We start from the raw sequence: 23,260 nt of genomic DNA, 5'->3' as shown, positions 1-23,260 counted from the left end.
CTATGGCAAACTCCCGACATTGAGCTGCTGATGTGGGTGGTCCCAGCGGTTAGTGTGTTGGTTAGAAAGTTGCTATGCCAGACAGGTTTGCCCTGGACTCTCAAACCCTGTATTTTCATGAACTGCTTCTTTTTTCAGTCCTTTCTGTAGAGTGCTAGGTTTTTCAGGAATGAGTTTATCGTGTTTTAGCAGTGACACTTGTCTTATTAGTTGTTACCTTTCATTTCCTGATGAACGAATCTTGGTCTAGATTGTTGAGGGACTTGCCAATAAAAGGAAAATCATTCAAATAAGAATAATTTCAATAAAGCCAAGATAGAAGGTTTTCAAGGACAATCATGGCCGGAAGATACAGTGGCAATAAAGGTATTTTGAATGAATTAACACCCATGGACTGGGCCTGGTGGCTCATGCCTTAATACCAGCACTTTGGGTGGCTGAGGCAGGCAGATTGCTTGAGTTCAGGAATTTGAGCTCAGCCTGGTCAACAACGGCAAAACCTCGTCTCTAATAAAAATACAAAAAATTAGCTGGGTGTGCTGGCATGCGCCTGTAGTCCCAGCTACTCAGGAGGCTGAGGTGGGAGAATCACCTGAGCCTGGGAGGTTGAGGCTACAGTGAACCAAGATCACACCACTGCACTCCAGTCTCGACAACCAGAGTGAGATGCTGTCTCAAAAAATAAAAAATACAAATAAAAAATTTGTTAAAAAAAAGTAGCACCCAGCACCAAAGAGGAAATAATAATGATTTCCTGTAGACATAAGGCTAACCAGTGTTTATAACGCAAAGATAACCTCCCTTCAGAGTCCCCCAAGCTTAGGTGAAGTTGGTTGTGAGCAGGAATAGTGAATTTCAAAATAATACACCTAGATTACTCTAAGAATATTTCTTTTCACTTCACTTACAATTTTATACAAAAGCAGAAGTTATTAAAGATTACTTATCTTCATATTTACCACCATCTTCTTACCCCAACCTCCATGTCTGTGTGTAATTAAAGGAAGCTTGTCAAGTAAGCTACCTATTTAGTGCTCGGAATGAAAGGGAGTGTGTGTTGGGAGTTGGGGGACTGCTTGCGTGAAACATTTCTCTCTTCTGGATTTAAAACTTAGTCTTGGTTGCCAATCTGTTAACAGACAGTTTGTAAATGAAGGGGAAGAAAAATATATAAATTAGCTTTCTAATAAATCTGAAATTACAAATGTGAACCAAAGCAGGGAATAAATACTTGACCAAAAATATGTAAGTAAGTGGGTGTTGGGGAATCACAATTTTTGAATATCTCAAGTTTTTGCTTTGAAAGTTCTATTTCAAAGTTCTTCAAAATGATGCCTGATGTTCCTGCATACTGTGTTCCAAATTTAGGTAAATACAAGATGGAAACTGTGAAGTATGTACCTTCAAAAAAGAAGAAAGACACTGACATTTTATCTATATATATGTAATAGATTTATGAAGAACATATATAAACATATATAAACATAAATAAATACTTCAAGGAACATTTAGGATAGATTTAGGATATATGAACATGTGGCAGGGTTGGAAAGAACATAATTCTTTCCCAGAAGGGGAAGGGGGAGCTATACTTAATCGGATCCAGCTACAACATCACTGGAAGTCATTTTCTCGCCAAAAAGTATCTCCACGGCAAAATCTGATGGATAAATTCTCCGTGCTTTTTGTTTATGTAGATTATCCAATTCATTTTTTGGTAGATAAAGCCTAAGAATAGAAAAAAATTATTACATTTTATATTGGGGCTCACTGAAAAGCCACACAGTTGGGTACCCACGTTAGAGCTGGAAGAAACAAAAAAAGAACCTCACCATGAATAGAACCTCAGCCCTTTTTTTGTGTCTCAGTTGGCTCCTTCCACCTTTTTACTGAGACATAAAAATACTTTAATCTTCAGCAACACATCAGTAACACATGCTGACTCTCTTAGCATTGCTTTATATGGAATTAATGACATCCAAGTTTAATAAAATATCTAAATTTCTCTCTGTGACAGAAATCAGTCAGGATAGACATGAATGAAAGCCCAGTAATAAAATACTATATCTCTTTTAATTTATGTGTGAGGTTGCAATTTTTTGAATTTTTACAATCAGACCTTGGAAATGACCTTGAGCAGTAGGATATAACTCCCACATGCTGAGTGTTCCAATAATGGAACACTAGGCATAAATTGGTTAACCCATTTATGCCTCGTGTTCTCAATGATAGAAGTTAGCATTTTTAGCTAAACAACAATCTCATAACAAAAACAGCTTTACCAAGTAGGATGTAAATTTAAATGTTACAGAAATCTTTAGAAATTTATATAAAATAAGAATAAAAGTGACCTAGCTTATCACTTCTCCAAAATGAACATAGTGTTTTAAAGGAAAAAAAAAATGGTATCCTTTAGCAAGAACCACTTTTGAGGAGCAGCATCAAATGAAGCTCCACCCAGGTCTCACTTTTTGAGGGTCTTTGCTCATGTTAGAATAAAAAGCTTATTGTTTGTATGCATCCAAAAAAAAAAACTTGTAAAAAATTTCCATCAAATACAAAGTTGACTCTATCAAAATCCATTAAATGTTTTGCATTGCAAGTGTGCAGACCAGAGGTTTAATTTCCTGTTGCCTTGCTGGACTTAAGGAATCATTCGATCCAGTTCACATTTGAAGAAAAGATTAGGACTGGATGTAACAATAACTATCAATTCATGCCACATATAATCATAGCCACTTCTTCAACTCTGACCTAAATCATTTAAAAAATATTTTGTCCTTTTGTATTGAAGAGTATGGTTGACACAAAAAAAGTCTCAATTTTTCACCATCACAAAACAAATGCTACTTACAGTGGAGAACTTCTAGACTGAGAAATGAGTTTCCAAATATGGCAGAAGGTTTTTTTGGAACAATAATCTCCAAATCCAATTAATAATTTTTCAGAAAGGTTTCCCAATTCAGTTATTAGAAAGCCATATTTGAATGGCTATTTAAATAGACTATTACTTAATGATATTTCTTAGCTGTATTCCTTAATACTGTGTCTTGTGACTTCTCCTAGATATAAGTGTGTCAGTCAGCTTTTCAGCTAGCTGAAGCCTCCCTAGGTCCTGCCTTCCTTTAGCACAAAAGTTGATGGTGGTTCATCATTGGTAAATCAACACCTACTGACAGGGACCTGACATATTGAAGGTGCTGAGCAGCCTCATATTGAACTTCTCTGGGAGGAATTTACTACCACACTTAAGATCTGATGATAATACTTTTGAACTCGTAACACAGTCCTATGGCATGGACCCTGAGGATACTGCAACAGTGGGTCTCAAGAACAAATGGATTTTTAAAATAACCAAAGTAAGAAGAGTAAGGCAAGGAACAATGGTGGTTCAAGGATTTTTTGCTTTCTATAAATTAAGTTTATGACAACCAGCAAAAGACTTGCCATTACACCTTATACATAGACATTGAAGATTAGGCTGTTTCTATGGGTTTCTATTATATTCATACCTGTTATTTTCAATAAAAGATGTGTGCAACCAGAAGTAAAATGAGCAATTGTCATAGTATGTAGGAAGATTCTAAAAAGAAAAAAAAATTTCAAAGTAAAACTGATACCAAGAACTAATCATTCCAAAGAAATTGAAGTTCCTTTCTTTATTCTTTTTTATATTTATCAAACAATTATAACCATTAAATATGTGGCACTCTGCAATCTATAACAATACACTCAAGACACAAAGGAGGAGGCTTTAAGAAAATGCTACTGCATTCTCTTGCTGTTTCTATCAAAATTTTCAAGGAATAGTATTTTTCCCATGATAGGTATTTAATTTAAATGCTGCTATTTGAATCTGGTTTAGATAGTGCCAAACAGACTCTACTAAGGACCTATGTCTATATATACCCAACTACATTGTAGTGAATTCTTGTAATTTTTTTGTTGCCTCAGCATCCCTTTTAATTATAAATTGGATTTTCTGATATCAGAAGCGGGGTTCAGTCACCCGCAGCAGTTTCCCGTTCACCTCCTCCCAGTTTCTCCATGTGACTGATCCTGATATCTGCCTTACACAACCTTCTCATGATGACCACTTCACTATGGGACAGCTAAATATAACCTACTTGACTCACCCCACAGACCCCCATACTCTGCAGGGACCATGTGGATATATCAGTGACCACCTCTCAGTCACAGCAGAGACTCATAGCTGCTTGCATTAAACCAAATTAGACCTCCCCGCAGGAAACCTGCTCAGGTAGCACCTTACATCCCAATAAAGGCTTCCACTCTCAGGTCCCTCCCTCTCTCTCGCTATTGCTCCCACCCATCAGTCGAGCACAGGTCTCCTGGATGGCTCCCCCTTCTAGTTGGCCCTGCGAAGTGTGCTGCCCTCCTCTCTCTGGAATTAATAAAAAACTGCTTCGGTTATTTCATGTGTTGTATTGTGCTGCCTTCTCTGTTTCACCCAACTGAGTCACCCAAACCTAACTCTCTTTCCAGTCAGTGCTCCCAGCTACTCGGGAGGCTGAGGTGGGAGGATTGCTTGAGCCCAGGAGGTTGAAGCTACAGTTAGCTATGATCACGTCACTGCACTCCAGCCTGGGTGACACAGTGAGACCCTGTCTCAATTTCTTAATTTTTTAAAAAAGATGCAAAACAAAATGTAATCAATGCTATGCAGTAAAACATACCTTTGGGGTTTTTTTTTTTTAGCATCTTGACTTTGTGTGTGTGTTTATTTTGTATTTTTTGTATTTGAGAATACATGTAAATTTAGAAAAATTTAGAAAATTTACAATTTAGAAAAAAACAAATGAACAAAAATTATTTAAATTACATACGCTCTTTTAAAAAAATTTGTTATAGATCTGATTTATTGTTTTCTTCCCCCTACCCCTCCCTTGTTGGGAATTGTAGTAAAGCAAATCTTACATGAAATCATTAGACCAGACAAGAACAATGGCAGAGGCTACTTTGTGATTACTCACCGAATAGAAAAACTGCACTTTCACATCATCATACAGAGGTAGACCGTCGAATACATCAATTAATATTTTGTCTGTTGTAATGTTATCAAGTACCTATGAATGAACACATGGAATTGAGAACTATAAACCTAGATAATGATAACAATGAAGTTCCTTTTCACTTATCATGACTTCCTGTATTTATCAAGTACTTTTGGTCTCACAGCCCAATCACTACATACATAAATAATTATTAATAATCTCTTCTAGTTGCAATACTGTTGTTTATGCGTGTGTGTTTACATTTGCTTTTTGTTTTCTGAGACAGAGTCTCACTGTCACCCAGGCTGAAGTGCAGTGGCATGATCTCGGCTCACTGCAACCTCTGCCTCCCAGGTTCAAGTGATTCTTGTGCCTCAGCCTCCCAAGTAGCTGGGACTATAGGCACATGCCATCATACCCAGCTAATTTTTGAATTTTTAGTAGCGATGGGGTTTCACTATATTAGGCAGGCTGGTCTCAAACTCCTGCTTCAAGTGATCTGCCCACCTGGGTCTCCCAAAGTACTGGATTACAGGCATGAGCCACTGCACCTGGCCTGTTGTTTATGTCTTTTAAAGGCCAACATATTTGAGGGTTATCATGAACCACTTTTCTTTTCTTTTTTTTTTGTTTGAGACAGAGTCTCACTCTGTCGCCAGGCTACAGTGGCATGATCTCGGCTCACTGCAACTTCTGCCTCCCAGGTTCAGCTGATTCTCCAGCCTCAGCCTCCCAAGTAGCTGGGACTATAGGCACGTGCCACCATGCCCAGCTAATTTTTGTATTTTTAGTAGAGACGGGGTTTCACCATGTTGACCAGGATGGTCTCGATCTCTTGACCTCGTGATCCACCTGCCCTGGCCTCCCAAAGTGCTGGGATTACAGGCATGGGCCACCGTGCCCAGCTATGAGGCACTTTTCAAAAGTGCCGCACTTTTAAAAAGTATTGAATTTTCCATTAGACTGTAATCAATTAAATATTATTATTTAATGTGTGTCATTTGATTTTTATGTGTTAGGGCCTTTTTTGAGAATACATTAAGAAGGTCAATTTTAAAGCTAGCATTGACATTCAAAAAGCAATGCATAACTTATCACGGTTTTTTATTTTCTGAATTTAAAAAATAACAACGGGGGTCTGTAACACTTGGGGGTTGGGCCAGCATGCTCCTCCCAAGGGAGGGGGAGAGTGGGGTCCCCCTGCTCATCATGTTTTATCAGAACTCTTGTGTTTGTCAATGGGATCTTTGAACTTGACCAGTGCAGGCTGCTGGATGGAGTAACCAAAGATAGCTCAAGTTTTGGAATGAATGACTTTGACGCTGTACTAGTTCTTTGACTCATTCTCATAGAAATAATGGCACCCACAATAAGAAAGGTCTATACTAGGCCCTGTGAAAAACACAAAAGGGGGTGCAGACTCAGTTGGCCCCTTCAGGGAGCTGTACACTTAAGAAACAATAGTAGAATGGTACATAACTCAATCTGTATGATAAAGACTGGGTGTGCTGTTATGCACTATTGGGGGCTAGTTAACAGAAGGTGCAGAATGCAAAAATTTCATTAAGGAGGTAGAAATTGAATTGGGCATGAAGCAGTTTAGATAAAGGAAGAAGAGCTCTGAAAACAGAATCTAGTCCAAATGGAGGGAAAAAGACCAGCAATAACACAAAGTAGAAATTAGAAAAATGGGCCAGGCACAGTGGCTCAAGCCTGTAATCCTAGCACTTTGGTAGGTTGAGGTGGGCAGATCACCTGAGGTCAAGAGTTTGAGACCAGCCTGACCAACACGGAGAAACCCCGTCTCTACTAATAATACAAAATTAGCCAGGTGTGGTAGCACATGCCTGTAATCCCAGCTACTTGGGAGGCTGAGGCAGGAGAATCGCTTGAACCCAGGAGGCAGAGGTTGTGGTGAGCTGAGATTGCGAGAGTGCACTCCAGCCTGGGTAACAAGAGCAAAACTCCGTCTCAAAAAAAAAAAAAAAAGAAAAAGAAAAAAATTGGAAAAACAACAACAAATAATGTCGGGCAGCGTGGCTCATGTTTATAATCCCAGCATCTTGTGAGGCTGAGGTGGACAGGCTGCTTGAGCCCAGGAGTCTGAGACCAGCCTGGGCAACATAGCAAGTCCCAGCCTCTATGAAAAATAAAAAAAATTGGGGGATTGCTTGAGCTCAGGAGGTTGAGGCTGCAGTGAGCCATGATCATGCCACTGTGCTACAGCCTGGGTGACAGAATGAGACCCTGGCTCAAGAAAAAAAAAAAAGGAAAGGAAGAAAGGAAGGAAAGAAAGAACCAACTAACTAACTAACTAACTAACTAACTAAATTAGAGTTGTGTTCCAAGAGCCAAAAGGGATGACCCAGTTTATTTGGAATGAAGTCTGCTGGTCAAGCTACTCATGGAAAAAAGCTCAGGTATTACACGTTAGGGCTATTATATCTTCAGAGCTCAAGAGCCAAGGAAATAAGAGTGACGTTGTTGAAAAATATGGTTGAGCATTTCCTATGTGACAAAGAGGCCTGATAATTATCACATATAACACTTATTTAGTGATTTATAGTTTACAAAGAAACTTTATATATATTATCTAATTTAATTCCCATTACACTTGAGATGTGATATTTATTTTACAGATAAGGATGTTGAGCCAGAGGTGTTAACTGGCTCTGACTACAGGCACACAGTGTGTCTTCTGCTCTACCTACAATTTTTCACAACGAGAGCAATATTTCAGAATGCATATTTCAGGATTCTATACATTGCATTATAGAAGGAGAAAGAAAGGGTAAGGAGACCACTGCGGAAATCTAGGCATGAGCAAAGGAGATTCTGGACAATTAGTGGCAGTGAGAACAGAAAGGAAGGAGAACATAGAAAACTGTCAAAGGCATAATCAACAGAGATTGATGACTAACTGGATTTAGGGGGCCGAGGCAAAGAGAATCAAAGCCCAAGGCATGAGTGGAAGAATGCTGGTGCCATTTGCAGAAGCAGAGAGAAAGCTCCTTGATAATTCAGACTGGCTAATGCATTTGAGTTGGAGTGGAAACTGTTCATGTTGTAGCTCCTGCATCTACAACTCAGCGGGTGCTCATAATTGGCTGTTATGAGTTGTTATGAGTAAATGAACAAATAATAGTTGAAGTAAGGGGAACGGGTCATCCTTTAAGAGTAAAGTATTTGCTAAGAACACAAAGCCAAGGGTCAGGCCTGGGTGAATGCCCTCAGTCGGGAGAGGCCAAAAAAGCCGGGCGCAGAGTAGGGAGGGCATGGCAGGGAATAGGGTTAGTAATAGGAGAATTTGAGACAAAGGCCTGGGTAGGAATTCTAAAAGTTTATGGTTATTAGACCATGAAAGATGCTTTCTGTTTCAGAAAAGGTATATAGTTTTAGGCATTTCTTCATTGAAGCAAAACATTGACTACCAGGTCCCTTTTGCTTTGGATAAAGAGGTTCCTCCCCCGTTCATTCACTCTTGCATTGTTTCTCACAGGGTCATCCCACAGAACCTCTGACTTAGAATCACTTGGGACATTGCTAAGTCTATAGATTCCTGGGCCCCATTCCAGATTTCCTGAATCATACTTTGGGGGTACAACCTAGGAATGTAAATCTTTACAAGCTCCTCAGTAGTTTTCATGCACACTAAACTTTTAGAATCAGTGCTATATAACAAAAGATCAAATGACGGAGAAGAAGAGAATATGGTTAAAAATGACCAGATAATGTAAATTAAAATCCTTAATACATTCCTGGGAACACGCTCAGTGTTTGTGGAAGTGTGAAAGGGAAAGCAACACTGACCAGAAATAAATTCTGGAAAGCACCCTGAAAAAACTGTTTTGAACAAACAGGTTAATTTATCTCTGGTTTGCATCCAAACCCAATGACACCAAGTTGGATGGTAACCAGAAAGCGTTATGGAATCTCTTTATGGTGAGTGATAGTTTAGGGAGGTGAACATTGCTGGTTTGACATTCAGCCTTAAAACAAACATCAGATTTTTTCAATTCACATGTTTTCTCTTACCGAACATTTTCCTAATGAAATAGTGGAAAAGACAACCTTTTTCTCCATTTCTATTTGGATTTTTAGATCACGTACATAACCTGTTCCAACAAAATGAAATTAAAAAGTTAGGTTGGCTAGCGTGAACATCAATATGTCTCACCAATTAACATCATGGATTAAAATGAGAAAAAATTATCCAAGCTAACAATGTATCAATAGTCACTTATTTGGTCTTGCATGGATTTTGTCTTTGAAAGACAAGCCTTCAAGCCCAGTTCTGTCTCCTAAAGCAGATTTTATAAGATGAGAGAAGAGGAAAAAAAATACATATAGTTCAGCTTCGAAGACTTAGAATCCCATCACTTTTATCTTTCCAGAAAAAATATTTAGGGAAGCTAGGCCAGGCATGGTGGCTCATACCTGTAATCCTAGCACTTTGGGAGGGCGAGGTGGGTCGATTACTTGAGGTCAGGAATTCTAAACCAGCGTGGCCTAGATGGTGAAACCCCATCTCTACTAAAAATACAAAAATTAGCCAGGCGTGGTGGCACATGCCTGTAATCCCAGCTACTTAGGAGGCTGAGACAGGAGAATTGCTTGAACCCGGCAGGCAGAGGCTGCAGTGAGCCGAGATCACACCACTGCACTCCAGCCTGGGCAACAGAACAAGACTCTGTCTCCAAAAAAAAAAAAAAAAAAAGAAAAAAGAAAATTCAGGAAAGGTGACTTGCAACCTTTGCAACCTTTCTTGCTAATATGTTGCTTTCTTCAGACTTCTAATCATAATGATTCTTAATAATAAATACTGTCGTTTAAGTACTTTGGCCCTACTTTAAGGCCAGTTCCTGATGCAATCTCTATAAAAATATACGATAGTTATATCCAAAAATTCCAGTGGTGTTCAGTATATATTTACAGACAAAGGCTTTTTTGTTCCTTTTTTTCCAAATTGAAATGACCCACTTCCCTTAGCATTTCCTCAAAGACTTGGTTTCTCAGCCAATTAATTTTTTTATTGCTTTCCTCTCAACTCTACATTGATTTTAATTTAAATGTTCACAAAACTAAAGGTAGAGAATTAAAACAAATATTTTAATAAACTAGTGTATTATCTTTGTTCATCTCATATGCTGTTTGTTTTCATTTAATTTTGTTTTCACTAACACCATATTTATTTGTCATTAGAAATCACAGTTTCTTGCCTCAGTTCCCTCTTTCCCATTCCAAGTGCAGAACTTCTTTCTATTGATGTCTACCAGAAATCAGTGAAATGTAGAACTAAACTCAGAAGGCTAAAAATACTAGGCTGTCTGTGTGGACACCAGCATCCTGGCCCCATGGCACCTATAGCACCCAGCACTGGCACCATCTCAGGTCCACAAGCTGGCTGCTAGAAGAGGTTTGCTTTAGGGGTTCTGAAGCATCGCCTCCCTGCTACATCTCCGGCAGTGGGAGTGGTGAGGCCCCATCCCTTCCACACAGACACATCCTGCTTTCCCACCTCCCCTGAGTGTAAGCTGGGAGTGAGAGGGTTACAGATGGAGGAGAGAGGGGAAAGGGAGAGCCCAGGGTGATGAGAAAAAAAATGCCTCTAAAAGAAGGTGAGAAAATGATACGATACGGAGACACCTCCACCAAGGCAAACTCTGAACTAGAGGTGGTTCTGAGAAATAAGCAGGCTTGAGGGCACATGGGTCCTCCTCCTCCCTCATCAGAGGCTCCCTCTGCCCGGAAAAGTCCGCCTGGGTTGAGACCAGAGGAGCAATGAGAACAGGAGAGATGGGAAAGGGATGAAGTCCCCCAAATTGGTGATGGAAAAGAAAAAGTGAAGAACATCTAAGGGCTGGCAATCAATGGGCAATTGCAGGAGGAGCGGCATAAATAAGGAGGAGTTCCTGTGTGAGGATATGTAAAAAGACAAGTATGAGTTAGGATCATCTGTATATACAACTATGAGCAAAACCCTCCCAGAGTGGGGACATTGGCCCTCCTGCCCAATTCTTCAATTATACATAAAGCACTTACGAGGAATCGAATAAATAATGAAGTGTTTTATAAAGAGTATCCGTCTTGGAGGGAGATTCCAGTTGTAGAGATGTTTCACTTGTGCAAAATATGCAACATATCTCTTCTGAAAAGCAACAGAAATCTTCCTTTAAGTGGAGATGAAAAGTCTAAAGTCGGCATTCCTTTTTTTTTTTTTGCATAAAGCTTGTTAATGGAGGTAAGTAATTAAGGAAACATTTACTGGATGCCATAATATAACTAGATATTTTTAGGGATGCTGCCCCACAACTATCTACCTTGAGGGAAAAATACTGAATTCAGTGCAATGGGGAAGTAACAAGGATGGAGCCAGGCCCTGTTTATAGGCTGCTTATGGTTGACAGGGCAACTAATCAGAAGCACAACAAAACAGTTACAGTATCATCAGTGTCTGGATAGAAGCTTAGTTGTGACTGAGTTAGAGGAAGACTTGTGGTTTGGTGATGAGCAGCTTCCTGGGCATGAGAGAATGGTATAAGTGAAAACTCCAGAGGAATACCTCCAAACCTCAGTAGCAGGTTTCCCATCCCTCTTCTCTTGTTCCTGACAGCTACAATTTCTTCACTTTGCATTTCCTCAATTCTGTTTTCCCAAGGAAGCCCTGAAATTGTCTTAGCCTTGTCCTTTCCCTGGGGCAAGCTGTTCACAACAGCTCTCCCCTGAATCTTTCTTCAAGGTATTGAAGAGCTCTGGTACTCAAACAACTGGTTCAGAATTCAAAAGTTGGCCATCATGGTGGCTCCCGCCTGTAATCCCAGCACTTCGGGAGGCCGAGGCGGGCAGATCACCTGGTGTCAGGAGTTTGAGACCAGCCTCGCCAACAGGGTGAAACCCTGTCTCTACTAAAAGTACAAAAATAGGCCATGCGTGGTGATGGGCACCTATAATCCCAGCCACTTGGGAGGCTGAGGCAGGAGAATCACTTGAACCCAAGAGGTCGAGGTTGTGGTGAGCTGAGATTGCACCACTGCACTCTAGTCTGGGCGACAGAGCGAGACTCTGTCTCAAAAATTAAAAACAAAACAAAACAAAACAAAACTCATAAGTTCACAGACTGTTCCTTACCCATTGGGAAATGTTGATTAAAGTAACTAACGGCCATACTTCCCTTTAGAAAGGGCCAGTCATGAGACAGGTTCATGAAAGTCCTTAACTTAGGAGTAGATGCACTCAGTAGAATGGCCCACAATGCAGGATCAGAATGTGATGGTGTCTGAGAATCACCACCAGACACAGAGGGCACTCTGTCCTGAGGTCTTGCCAACACAGCTCTCAAACGTGCAGCTGAGTCCCTGTGTTGCTTTTTCGGTGAATCAGAAGAGATTCAGTTGCAGCCTTTGGTGTGCTAGTTCTGGACTACAGTTAGGGAAACTATGCACGACTGCAGAAGAAATGGGGATGGGGAGATGTGTGGGGAGAGTTGTTGAAGGAGCTCCGTCTAGCATCCCGTTAGCTTCTGCCACTAGATTCTCCACCTTTCCCTAAGGGCTGTAAACCACCAGGGCCCTCAAGCTGCTTGTGCTCCCACGCTTCCTTCTCCTACAACTTAAAACAACATGGACTTGTAGTAGAAATTAATACAACCAACACATAGGAGGCACTCACTACAAACAAAGAAAACATTATGAGAAAAGGGTGGAAAGATGGGTAAGCCACGGGCTTTGCCTTTAAAGGGGATACAGAAGTCACCACTTCAAATAACTAGAGAATGATGCAAAGTGACGTAGTCCCTAAAAGAAACACAAAGGGCTCTAAGAATTGAAAAAGCAAGAGACTACTTCAGGCTGAGAAGGGAAAGGGACTCTAGGAAAAGGGGCATGAGCAATGGCATGAGGGTATCAAGTGTCCATAGGCTGGGAAAGAGCACAGAGTCTAAATGTGTTGGAGTATGGGATGTGTGATGCACACAGCGGAAGAGAAGGTTGGAAAAGTCAAAGAGTGGCTCTTGAGTGCCAGGTTGAAACGTTTAGTTTATTGCCATTGGCAGTGGGGACATAGTATGGATTTTAAGCATGGAAATGGCATGATTAGGGCTGCACTTCAGTAAATTCACCTATCACTTTTAGCTTAGAGTCTATGACTATCTTTGTTTTGTTTTGTTTTGTTTTGTTTGGGGCTTGGGTGTGGGAGAAAAGTAGCAGTGGATAAAGCTGAGTTCTTCTGGCCCAAACTAAAGGCTTAGGGCCAGTAGTTAGAGAGTTCTTCTACTCAGCTCCCACCACTTAAAGAAAAACTCATTTACAGCCACATCCAAATCCATTTAGAAATTCCCAACCCGCTCTCACTTCGGTTTCAGGGGCAATATAGAAAAGGCAATATAAATGACAAGCTGTGCACAGCAAGGGCTTCAGAGACTGACATCTAGATTTCAGTCCTTGGTTCAAAGGTTACTTTCTCTAAACCTCAATTTTCTAATTTATGAGAATCATAGTAGTGCCTACTCACAGAGTTACTGAGAATATTAAATGAGATAGTGAATAGAGAACCCTCAGAATAGTTCACCAAAGTCTAGAATGTTGTAAATGCTATAGGATAAACATCCTGGTTTCTGCAATAAACAAATTACAAGTAATAAAAAATGGTGAGAAATCTATGAACTTAGATTCTTAAAAGAGACTTAGGAGACACAGCAACCAAATGAAATGTGTGGACTTTGTTTGAATTCTGATTAAACAAACTAAATTTTCAAAGATTTTAAGACAATTTTGGAAACAAACATGGACTACAAATTTGATATAAAGGATTTTTAAGGTATAATATTGTTAGATATGATAAAAAGTGTTAAGGTTTTTTCTTGTTGTTTTAAGAGTACTTAAATGTCATACTAAAATGCTGTGTGATAAAATGATCTGACGACTGAAATTTCCTTTACAATAACTCAGATTTAGGGAAAACAAGAGTGGAGAGTGGGGTTGGGGGGTGTGAGTGGAGTGGGAAAGAATGGATGAAATGTGACTGGCGCCAGCTGAAATACTGTTGCAGCAATGTGATGACTACATGAGGATATAGTGTATGATTCTCTGGACTTTTGTATATGATTAAAATTTTCCATAACAAAATGTTTCTAAAAGAAAAAACAGAGTAACAGTGTATATTTCATACAGGTGTTATGGGTATTAAATGAGATATGTAAAAGTGCAATACTGTCTGGGATACAGAAGGGGTTTTGAAAAGTTTATTTTCCCTTTTATTTTCTCTTTTAAAATACACCTCCCCCACAACACACAGAAAAGACACACACACACACACACACACACACACCAGGAGTCATCCAAAAACAGTCTTTGTGATGTTCTGCAAGGGTTGAATTGTCCTAGTAAGGGTTTGTGAAAGACTTGGATCTTTTTTACATTGAAATCAAAGGCTGGTGATTTTAGACACACTTCAGAGTCCTGGAGCCTTGGGTACTGGACCTTCCTACTTTGGGAAAATAATCAACTCCTGAGCTCTGTAAACAATAACCAGTATAGAATAGAAAGCAGGATTCTCTGAAGAGAAACCAGAGTCCCCAGCATGTGGGCAGCACCTGAAGCGTGACCCTCAGACTCAGGGAGGGACTAAGGCCTGTTGCAGGGCACCCAACTGCTGCTGCCTGATCACCAAAGGAGAGGAGTCTAAAATGAAACCAAATAACAGGTGGCAATCTGAACCCACACCCCTAAAAAAACTCCCATTTTTAAAAAGAAAACTTACCTGAGAAGGAGTTTTTACTCCCTGAAATTTTTCGCTGTGGGTTTTATCTGTTCGCCTTTCTCCAAAATAATACAGGCTTTCCTACAAAAAAGGGTACAATCCAACCATGGTTCATCTGCACTCTTTCCTTTCCTATATTAGGTACCCTTAGTGTTTCTACGCCCACCTTCTTTCCTAAAGTCAGTGATTTTGTTTGTTTGTTTGTTTTTTTGGTAGAGTCTTGCTCTGTAACCCAGACTGGAGTACAGTGGCAGGATCTAAGCTCACTGCCACCTCTGCCTCCTGGGTTCAAGTGATTCTACTGCCTCAGCCTTCTGAGTAGCTGGGACTACAGGTGTGTACCACCATGCCCAGCTAATTTTTTGTATTTTTAGTAGCTATAGGGGTTTCACCATGTTGGCCAGGCTGCTCTCAAACTCTTGACCTCAAGAGATCCGCCTGCCTCAGCCTCCCAAAGTGCTGGGATTACAGGCGTGAGCCACCCGTGCCCGGCCGCAGTGATCTTTGGGCAGAGGCTACCGAAAATAACAAAATTAGGACTTCTCTCATTCAAGGATTCATACATTCATAAAATTTTAGAGCTAGAAACACCTTAGAAAGCATCTGGTCCAACCCTTCTTTCCATATTACAAATGACAACACTGAGACCAAAACAAAACCAAGCAACCTGCCAAGGAGATGCTGCAGCCAGTTAGAAGAAGCACAGGCCTCGCATACATGTCCCTGGGTCTCAGTCTAGGGCTCTGGATCAATGGCTGTCAATGACTTTCAAACCTTTTGTTTTTTAAGTTGCAATCCACATTAATAAACCTAGGAGACACACACACACACCAATATTTAAACCTTTGGATATTTTCTATTCTGCTCTATTCATTTTATTTTCAAACGATGTCAGTTACAATCCAGTAACTTTATTTTAAAACTCACTGATAAATCATGATCCATAGCTTGAAAAACACCATCCTAGAACACCCATTTTCAAAATCTGTGTATCTCAAATTAGAGAAACCAAAGGTGGTGGAATTGGAGTCTGGGCATTGTGCACAACCACCACCTCTTCCCTAGACTGAGGCCAAACAACTCGAGCAGAGCTGCTGGAAATGGTAGCATCTCAGCAAGAAAACGGCAGAAAGAAAAATGACTGAGAACTCTGCTTTAAGTGGAAACAGCCCACCTTGTCTTATCAGAAATTTTTAGAGGTCACAGACTCCACATGTATTGACTAAGCAAAGATATTTACATTCAGGAGAGGCTTTGTTTTGAGTTGTGAAATGTTGCTTTTTATCTACCTAAGAGTTGTGAGGATGGGCAAGGCTCTTTGGAGAATTTATCTAATTAAGCTTGATACTATTCTCACGAGGAAGGAAGAAGTCATGGTACTGGCAGGAGGAAGAGCAGGGCCAGGTGAAGTGAGGGAAGCATCTTGATTACTGAATGTTTTTTTCTGTGTAACATGGCTTTACTCCCCTCACCTTAATCCTGCCCCATCAGGTCTTGTCTTTATTTAACATGTTGATATTGTATACATCATCGATTTTTTGCATTAATTTTTATTAAAATATTGCGTTAAAATTATTTATTTTAATTATTACAATTTTTAGCATTCCCTTAAATTTTGCACCTCATTGACCTCACTCTAGTCCTGGCCCAAAGAGATTCTGAAGTCAGCTACTAACTAGTGCACATTAAACAAGAAAGTATCAAAAACAGACTTTCTAAAGACTGCTTCTCTAATTACAATTTTACTAAGCACCATGACTAAAATAATCATCTTAATGTCCTGCCAGTGATGTTTCAGAACTAGCAAACTCAATCATCCTAAGACAAAGTTTGTAGAACATCTTTCATACCTTTGCAGTTGAACATATTTCAGAGGCAATAAGGAAGGCACAAACCATAGTTCCTGTTCTATCTAGAAAAGAAAAGAAGTTAGTTCAAGAACATACGTGGTATAAAAATACACTCAGAAATATTCAAGGAGTGCATTTTAACTTGATTTTCTTTCTTTTTTTTGAGACAGGGTCTTGCTGTGTCACGCAGGCTGGAGTGCAGTGGCACAATCTTGGCTCATTGCGACCTCCATCTCACAGGTGAAAAATAGGCAAATTACATTTACAGTAAAAATATCTCTCACCATCTCTCCACAAAAGGACACGATGAGGTTTTTACTAAAATCTATAAGAAAGCAACAATTCATGTATTTTATGATTTTTTTGGATAATAGTAAAAAAGAAAAATTCCCAACTCATTTAGTACGTTAATATAACTGATTCCAAAATTGCACAAATGCAGTAGAAGATATTTTTACACCAGTCTCACATATAAATGTAGATTTAAAAATATACATATATTTTCAAAGTGAATTCAGCAATGTAGAAACACCATGTATCAACACCAAGTGCCATTTCTCTTAAGGATGCAAGGATGTTTTTTCCAAGATGGCAGATTACAGGCTTTTAGCATGCCTGCCTCAGTCATTTGGAAATAGCAAGCAAGTACATAAAGACCAACTCTGTGAGCTTTAATTCAAGAAAGAAAATGGCAATTCCCCGGAATTTTGAAGGACATCCCAGATCCTGGGGAGGACAATGCAGGCAAGCAGCCCTCAGGACAGCATTCGACTGATAAAAGTGAGTGAAGCCTCAGTATGTGAGACAGGCAGACAGCATCCCTCTGTCTCACCTTTCCACTGGACATCCATGCAACCCGGGCAGAGGAAGAGATTGTTTCTCCCAAGCCTTGGAGCTCATTTGAGAAGAGACTTGGAGACTTTGTGGGGGAAAGACACAGGGAAACGCTGCCGGCATTTTCCCAAACCTGGACTGGGAGCAGGACAACACTGGGGGAATCTTCCCTATCTGGCTGCACCCATCTTGTGCCCCCAATCCCCCTACCCCTAGGGCTGAGGGAGCTCAGATTAATGTGTACTCAGGATTTCAGCCCATTGCCTGGGGCAACAGAGAGCTCCTCCCAATAAACAAGGATGAAGTACACAGCCAGCAGCACTGGCAACAGCCAGCTCTTACCCATGGCGCCATCTACTGGCTCATAGGTCAAACCACACACCCAATATAAAACCTGCTGGCAGAAGTGCATAGGGCTGCAGAAGCAAAGCCAAAAGACCCTACCCAGCATGCTCTACAGTCACACCCTCTAGGGAGAAGGGAAAGGGAAAGAAGAAAAAAATAACAATAATATTATAGGAAAGGAAAGAAAAAGAAAAATCCTACCCAAACAAAAATAATTACACAAATTAGAAGTGCAGATGAGAAGGACCCACGCAAGAATTCTGGAACCATGAGAAATCTGAATGTAGTGACACTGCCAAAGGATCACAATAGCTCTCTGGCAATGCTTCCTACCAAAATGAAAACTCAGAGATGACAATAAACAATTCAAAGCTTGGGTTGCAAGGAAGCTCAATGAGATTCAAGGTTGAAATCAACAAAAAGAAACTTCTACATCAATCCGGGAAATGAAGGAAGAGATAAACATCTTAATAAGAAATCAATCAGAACTTCTAGAATAAAAAAAACTCACTAAGGAATTTCAAAATACAACTGAAAGCTTTATCAACAGACTGGACAAAGTAGAAAACATAATTTCAGAGCTTGAAGACTGGTCTTTTGAACTAATCCAGTCAGACAAAAATAAAGAAAAAAATATTTTTTAAAAGTGAAGAAAGTCAGAAATATGAGATTATGTAAAGTGACCAAACCTATGAATTACTGGCATGCCCTAGAGAGAAAGAGAAAAAGAAAACAGCCTGGAAAACATATTTGATGGAATAATTCGAGAAAATTTCTTGAATCTTGCTAGATAGACATCTAAGTACAATAAAGCCAGACGGCACCTGTGAGATACTATAAAAAATGAACATTACCAAGGCATATACTCACCAGACTATCCAAGGTCACTGTCAAAGAAAAAGCCCTAAAGGCACTGGAGAAAAAGGCCAGATCACACACAAAGGTAGCCCCATCAGGATAACAGCCAAATCCAACAGCACATCAAAAAGTTCATGATCAAGTAAGCTTCATTCCAAGGATACAAGGTTCAGCATATGCAAACCAAATGTGGTGCAGAATTAAACAGAAACCACATGATCATCTCAATAGATGCAGAAAAAAAAGCTTTTGATAAAATTCAACATCTTTCTTGATAAAAAAAAAAAAACACTCAAGAAACTAGGAATCAAAAGAACATACTTCAAAATAGAGCCATGGGCCAGGTGCAGTGGCTCACATCTGTAATCCCAGCACTTTGGGAGGCCAAGGCAGGCAGATCACTTGAGGTCAGGAGTTCAAGACCAGCCTGGCCAACATAGTGAAACTCTGTCTTTACTAAAAATACAAAAATTAGCCGGGCATGGTGGTGCACACCTGTAATCCCAGTGACTCAGAAGGCTGAGGCAGGAGAATCGCTTGAACCCAGGAGGCGGAGGTTGCAGTGACCGAGATTGCACCACTGCATTCCAGCCTGGGTGACAGAGCAAGACTCCATCTCAAAAACAAACAAAAAATAGGCTGGGCGCGGTGGCTCATGCCTATAATCCCAGCACTTTGGGAGGCTGAGGTGGGTGGATCACCTGAGGTCAGGAGTTCGAGAGCAGCCTGGCCAACTTGGTGAAACCCTATCTCTACTAAAAATACAAAAATTAGCTGGGTGTGGTGGCAGGCGCTTGTAATCCCAGCTACTTGGGAGGCTGAGCCAGGAGAATCACTTGAACCTGGGAGGTGGAGGTTGCAGTGAGCCAAGACTGCGCCATTGCACTCCAGCATGGGCAACAAGAGCGAAACTCCCTCTCAAAAAAAAAAAAAAAAGAAATCATTTCCTTTGCAGCATCATGGATGCAGCTGGAAGTCATTATCCTGAGCAAATTAATGCAGGAACAAAAAACCAAATACCATATGTTCTCACTCATAAGTGAAAGCTAAACAATGGGTGCTCATGGACATCAAGGTGGCAATAATGGACCCTGGGGAGTTCTAGAAGGGGCACAGCAGAAAAGGACACAGGTTGAAAAACTAACTATTGGGTCTTGTGCTCAGTACCTGGGTGATGCGATCAATCATACCCCAAACCTCAGCATCACACAATATTACCAATAAACCTGTATATGCACTTCCAAATCTAAAAGCTAATTTATACCAAAAATCTAAGCTCAAAAAGAAAAAGAAAGTCTTTTGCCTATTAAAAAACAAATAATAACAAATGCAAGAATCATCCTACATCAGAAATCTATATTAATGCAATTTATCATATTCATTGATTAAAGAAGACACACCTTACAATTATCTCAATTAATGCAGGAAAAAGCATTCACTAAAATTCAGCCTGCACCTGTGACTTTAAAAATTAACAACTAGGAAACTTCCTTAACTCAACAAAGAGAATCTACCAAAATACCTACCAGGAACATCATATTAATGATATAATATTGAAAGCATTTTCTTTAAAGCCTGGAATTAAACAAAAATGCCCTCTCTTCACTGCTTCCATTTAACAGTATACTACAGAGCCTAACCAGTGTAGAAAGTCAGTGTAGTAAGTAAATCTTTAGAATAACTCCTTAATCTAATGAGAGATTTTAGGAAGATTTCTAGATGCAGGCTCAACATAAACAAAAATTAATAGCTAAATCAAGGATGCAGGTTGAAATCTTTACAGTAATTACTAAAAACATAGAAAAACAGTATATGACTTCCAAGGTAATGACAGACGGTGAGAAGGAAAGAATTATATTATTAAAATTCAATCAAATGAAAACAGAATGTCAGTAGGAAAACAGAAGAGTTAAATAGATGTACATAGAACACTGTTCTCAACAATGCATAATACATGTTCTTTTCAAATGTACAGAAAACATTTGACAATATCGACCAAATTCTGGGCCATTAAGCAAGTCTAAACAAATTTCAAAGAACTAAAAAAGAAAAAAATACATAGTATGTTCTGTGTCCACCACACAATATAATCAGAAATCAAAAATTTAAAGATAAATACAAAATTCTCATATGTTTGGAAATAAGGAAGTATATTTCTACATAACTCATGGGTCAAAAAAAAAAACAAGCACAAAGTTGGAACATAGTTTGAACTGAGTAAAATAAAAACACTAAAAATAAAAATTTATGGGACGAAACTAAAGCAATTCTTAGAGGAAAACTTGTAGCCTTAAATGGTAAATAGAAAAGATAGTGGTTGACACTCTAAGAATTATCCATGTCAAGAAGTCAGGAAAAGAACAAATTAACCCAAGGAGTACAGAAGAAAGTACTAAATATAATAGTAATTGATGAAATAAAAAATAAGTAAAAAATAGAGACCACAAATAGGCCAAAAACTTGGTTCTTTTAAAAGACTAGTAAAATTGATAAATCCGTGGTAAGACTACTCAGAAGAAAAAAGGGGAGAAGGCACCAAGAAAGCAATGTCAGGAATAAAAAAGGGAACATCTCTGCAGACACTAAAATGGTAAAATGATATTGTGAACAATTTGATGTCAAGACAATTTGCAAAGTTAGATTAAATGGACAAATGCTGGGAAAACTATAATCTACCAAAATGGGCAAAAGAAATAAAATTATAAAAACATTCTATATAGGGAATTGAGCCATAATTTAAAGACTTCTCTCCAGAGAAAACTCTAGGCCAATGTGCGTTCACTGGTGAATTTCACTTTACACTTAAGAAGGAAAAAAATCAGCATGCATAAATTTACCCAGAGAATAAAAACAGAGAAAATGAAATTTAACTCATTTTACGAAGCCAAGATTTGAAAAAACTATGAGAAAGGAAAATTATAACCAATTGCCCAGAAGACATGAATTTGAAAATCCTAAACAAAATATTAACGGACAGAATCCGGCAATTTAATAATAAAATAATTTAATAAGTATTTAACAAAATAATACAGCACAACTAAATTACATTTATTCCAGAAACATGTTGGTTTACCACTTAATCAATGCAATTAACCACATTTATTTATAGGATAAAGTAGAAAAATTATCATCTCAAAGATTCAGAAAAATCTTTAAGAATTCAACATCCATTCATGATTTAAAAAAAAAAACTCTTAGCAAGCTAAACGAATTTCTTTTTTCTTTCTTTCTTTTTTTTTTTTTTTGTTTCATTTTTTGAGACAGAGTCTTACTCTGTCATCCAGGTTGGAGAGCAGTGGTGCGATCTTGGCTCACTGGAACCTCTGCCTCCTGGTTTCAAGTGATTCTCGTGCCTCAGCCGGAGTAGCTGGCATTACAGGCATGTGCCACCGCACCTCGCAAATTTTTGTATTTTTTAGTAGAGACAGGGTTTCACCATGTTGCCTAGGCTGGTCTTAAACTCCTGGCCTCAAGTGATCTGCCCCCACTGGGCCTCCCAAAGTGCTGGGATTACAGGTGTAAGCCAAGGCGCCCAGCCAAGGAATTTCTTAATCGATAAATGGTCACTAATACACACACACACACACACACACACACACACACACACTCGTAAAGCATTTGGAGAGATGTTGAAAGCTTTTCCTTTGATAATGGAACTGTATGTTGATGGCTGCTATGGCCACTTCTAATTCTACACTGTACTGAATGTTCTAGCCAGTGCTAGGGGAGATGAATGACTGAAATGGAAAAAATATAATTTATTATTTTCATATGATGTAATCGTGTACCATAAAATCCAAAAGAATCTATAGATAAATTAGTAGAACTAATAAGTGAGTTTAGGCTGGGCACGGTGGCTCAGACCTGCAGTCCTAGCACTTTGGGAGGTGGAGGCTGAGGCTGGCGGATCACTTGAGCACAGAAGTTTGAGACCAACCTGGGCAACATAGCGAAACCCCATCTCTACAAAAAAATGAAAAAATTAGCTAGGCATGGTGGCACCTGCCTGCAGTGCTAGCTACTCAAGAGGCTGATATAGGAGGATCACCTGAGCCCAGGGAGGTTGAGGCTGTAGTGAGCCATGATCATGCCACTGCATTCCAGCCTGGGTGACAGAATGAGACTGCCTCAAAAAAAAAAAAAAAAAAAGTGAGTTTAGGAAAGTTGCTAACTGCAAGATTAATAAATAAAATGAACTGCATTTAAAACAACAAAAAACATTTAGAAAATAAACATTTTAAAGGGATATCATTTAAATAACCACAAAAAAAATCTAAGAATAAATCTCACCAAAAATATGCACGCTTTCTATACAGAAAATGAGAAAGCATTATAAAGAGAAATTGAAGAGGACCTAACTAAATGAGAGAATACCTCTGTTCATGGGTTGGATGAGTCAATATTGTAAAGATTCAATTCTCCCCAGTCTATAAATTCAATGCAATTCCAAACAAATTTCTACCCAGTGTTTGTAATTTGACTAGTTGATTCCCAAATTTATATGGAAATATAGATGACCTAAAATACCCAAACAATTGTGAAGAAAAAGAAGAAGATGATGAGGACATATTAGAAAGCTACAGTAAGATAGTTGTGCTATTG

The 23,260-nt window shown here is 39.3% G+C and overlaps 1 protein-coding gene across 4 annotated transcripts in view; it reads right to left on the bottom strand.

Moving 5' to 3' along the window:
* Nucleotides 1,429-23,260, bottom strand: part of TPTE (transmembrane phosphatase with tensin homology) — an 84,134-nt gene continuing 62,302 nt past the window's right edge. For all 4 annotated transcript variants that reach the window (NM_199261.4, NM_199259.4, NM_199260.4 and 1 more), the window contains 7 exons: nucleotides 16,622-16,683; nucleotides 14,772-14,852; nucleotides 11,058-11,163; nucleotides 9,051-9,130; nucleotides 4,995-5,087; nucleotides 3,513-3,583; nucleotides 1,429-1,728 (listed from right to left, as the gene is read on the bottom strand). In NM_199261.4, coding sequence (NP_954870.3) covers nucleotides 1,593-1,728; nucleotides 3,513-3,583; nucleotides 4,995-5,087; nucleotides 9,051-9,130; nucleotides 11,058-11,163; nucleotides 14,772-14,852; nucleotides 16,622-16,683 — 629 coding nt within the window. In that variant the 3' untranslated portion in view covers nucleotides 1,429-1,592. The remainder of the gene's footprint in view (nucleotides 1,729-3,512; nucleotides 3,584-4,994; nucleotides 5,088-9,050; nucleotides 9,131-11,057; nucleotides 11,164-14,771; nucleotides 14,853-16,621; nucleotides 16,684-23,260) is intronic.

The sequence above is a fragment of the Homo sapiens genome, chromosome 21, assembly GCF_000001405.40.
Source record: "Homo sapiens chromosome 21, GRCh38.p14 Primary Assembly".
Taxonomy (NCBI): Eukaryota; Metazoa; Chordata; class Mammalia; order Primates; family Hominidae; genus Homo; species Homo sapiens.
The sequence above is the reverse complement of the archived record's forward strand: the minus strand, read 5'-3'. Positions and strand labels throughout refer to the sequence as shown.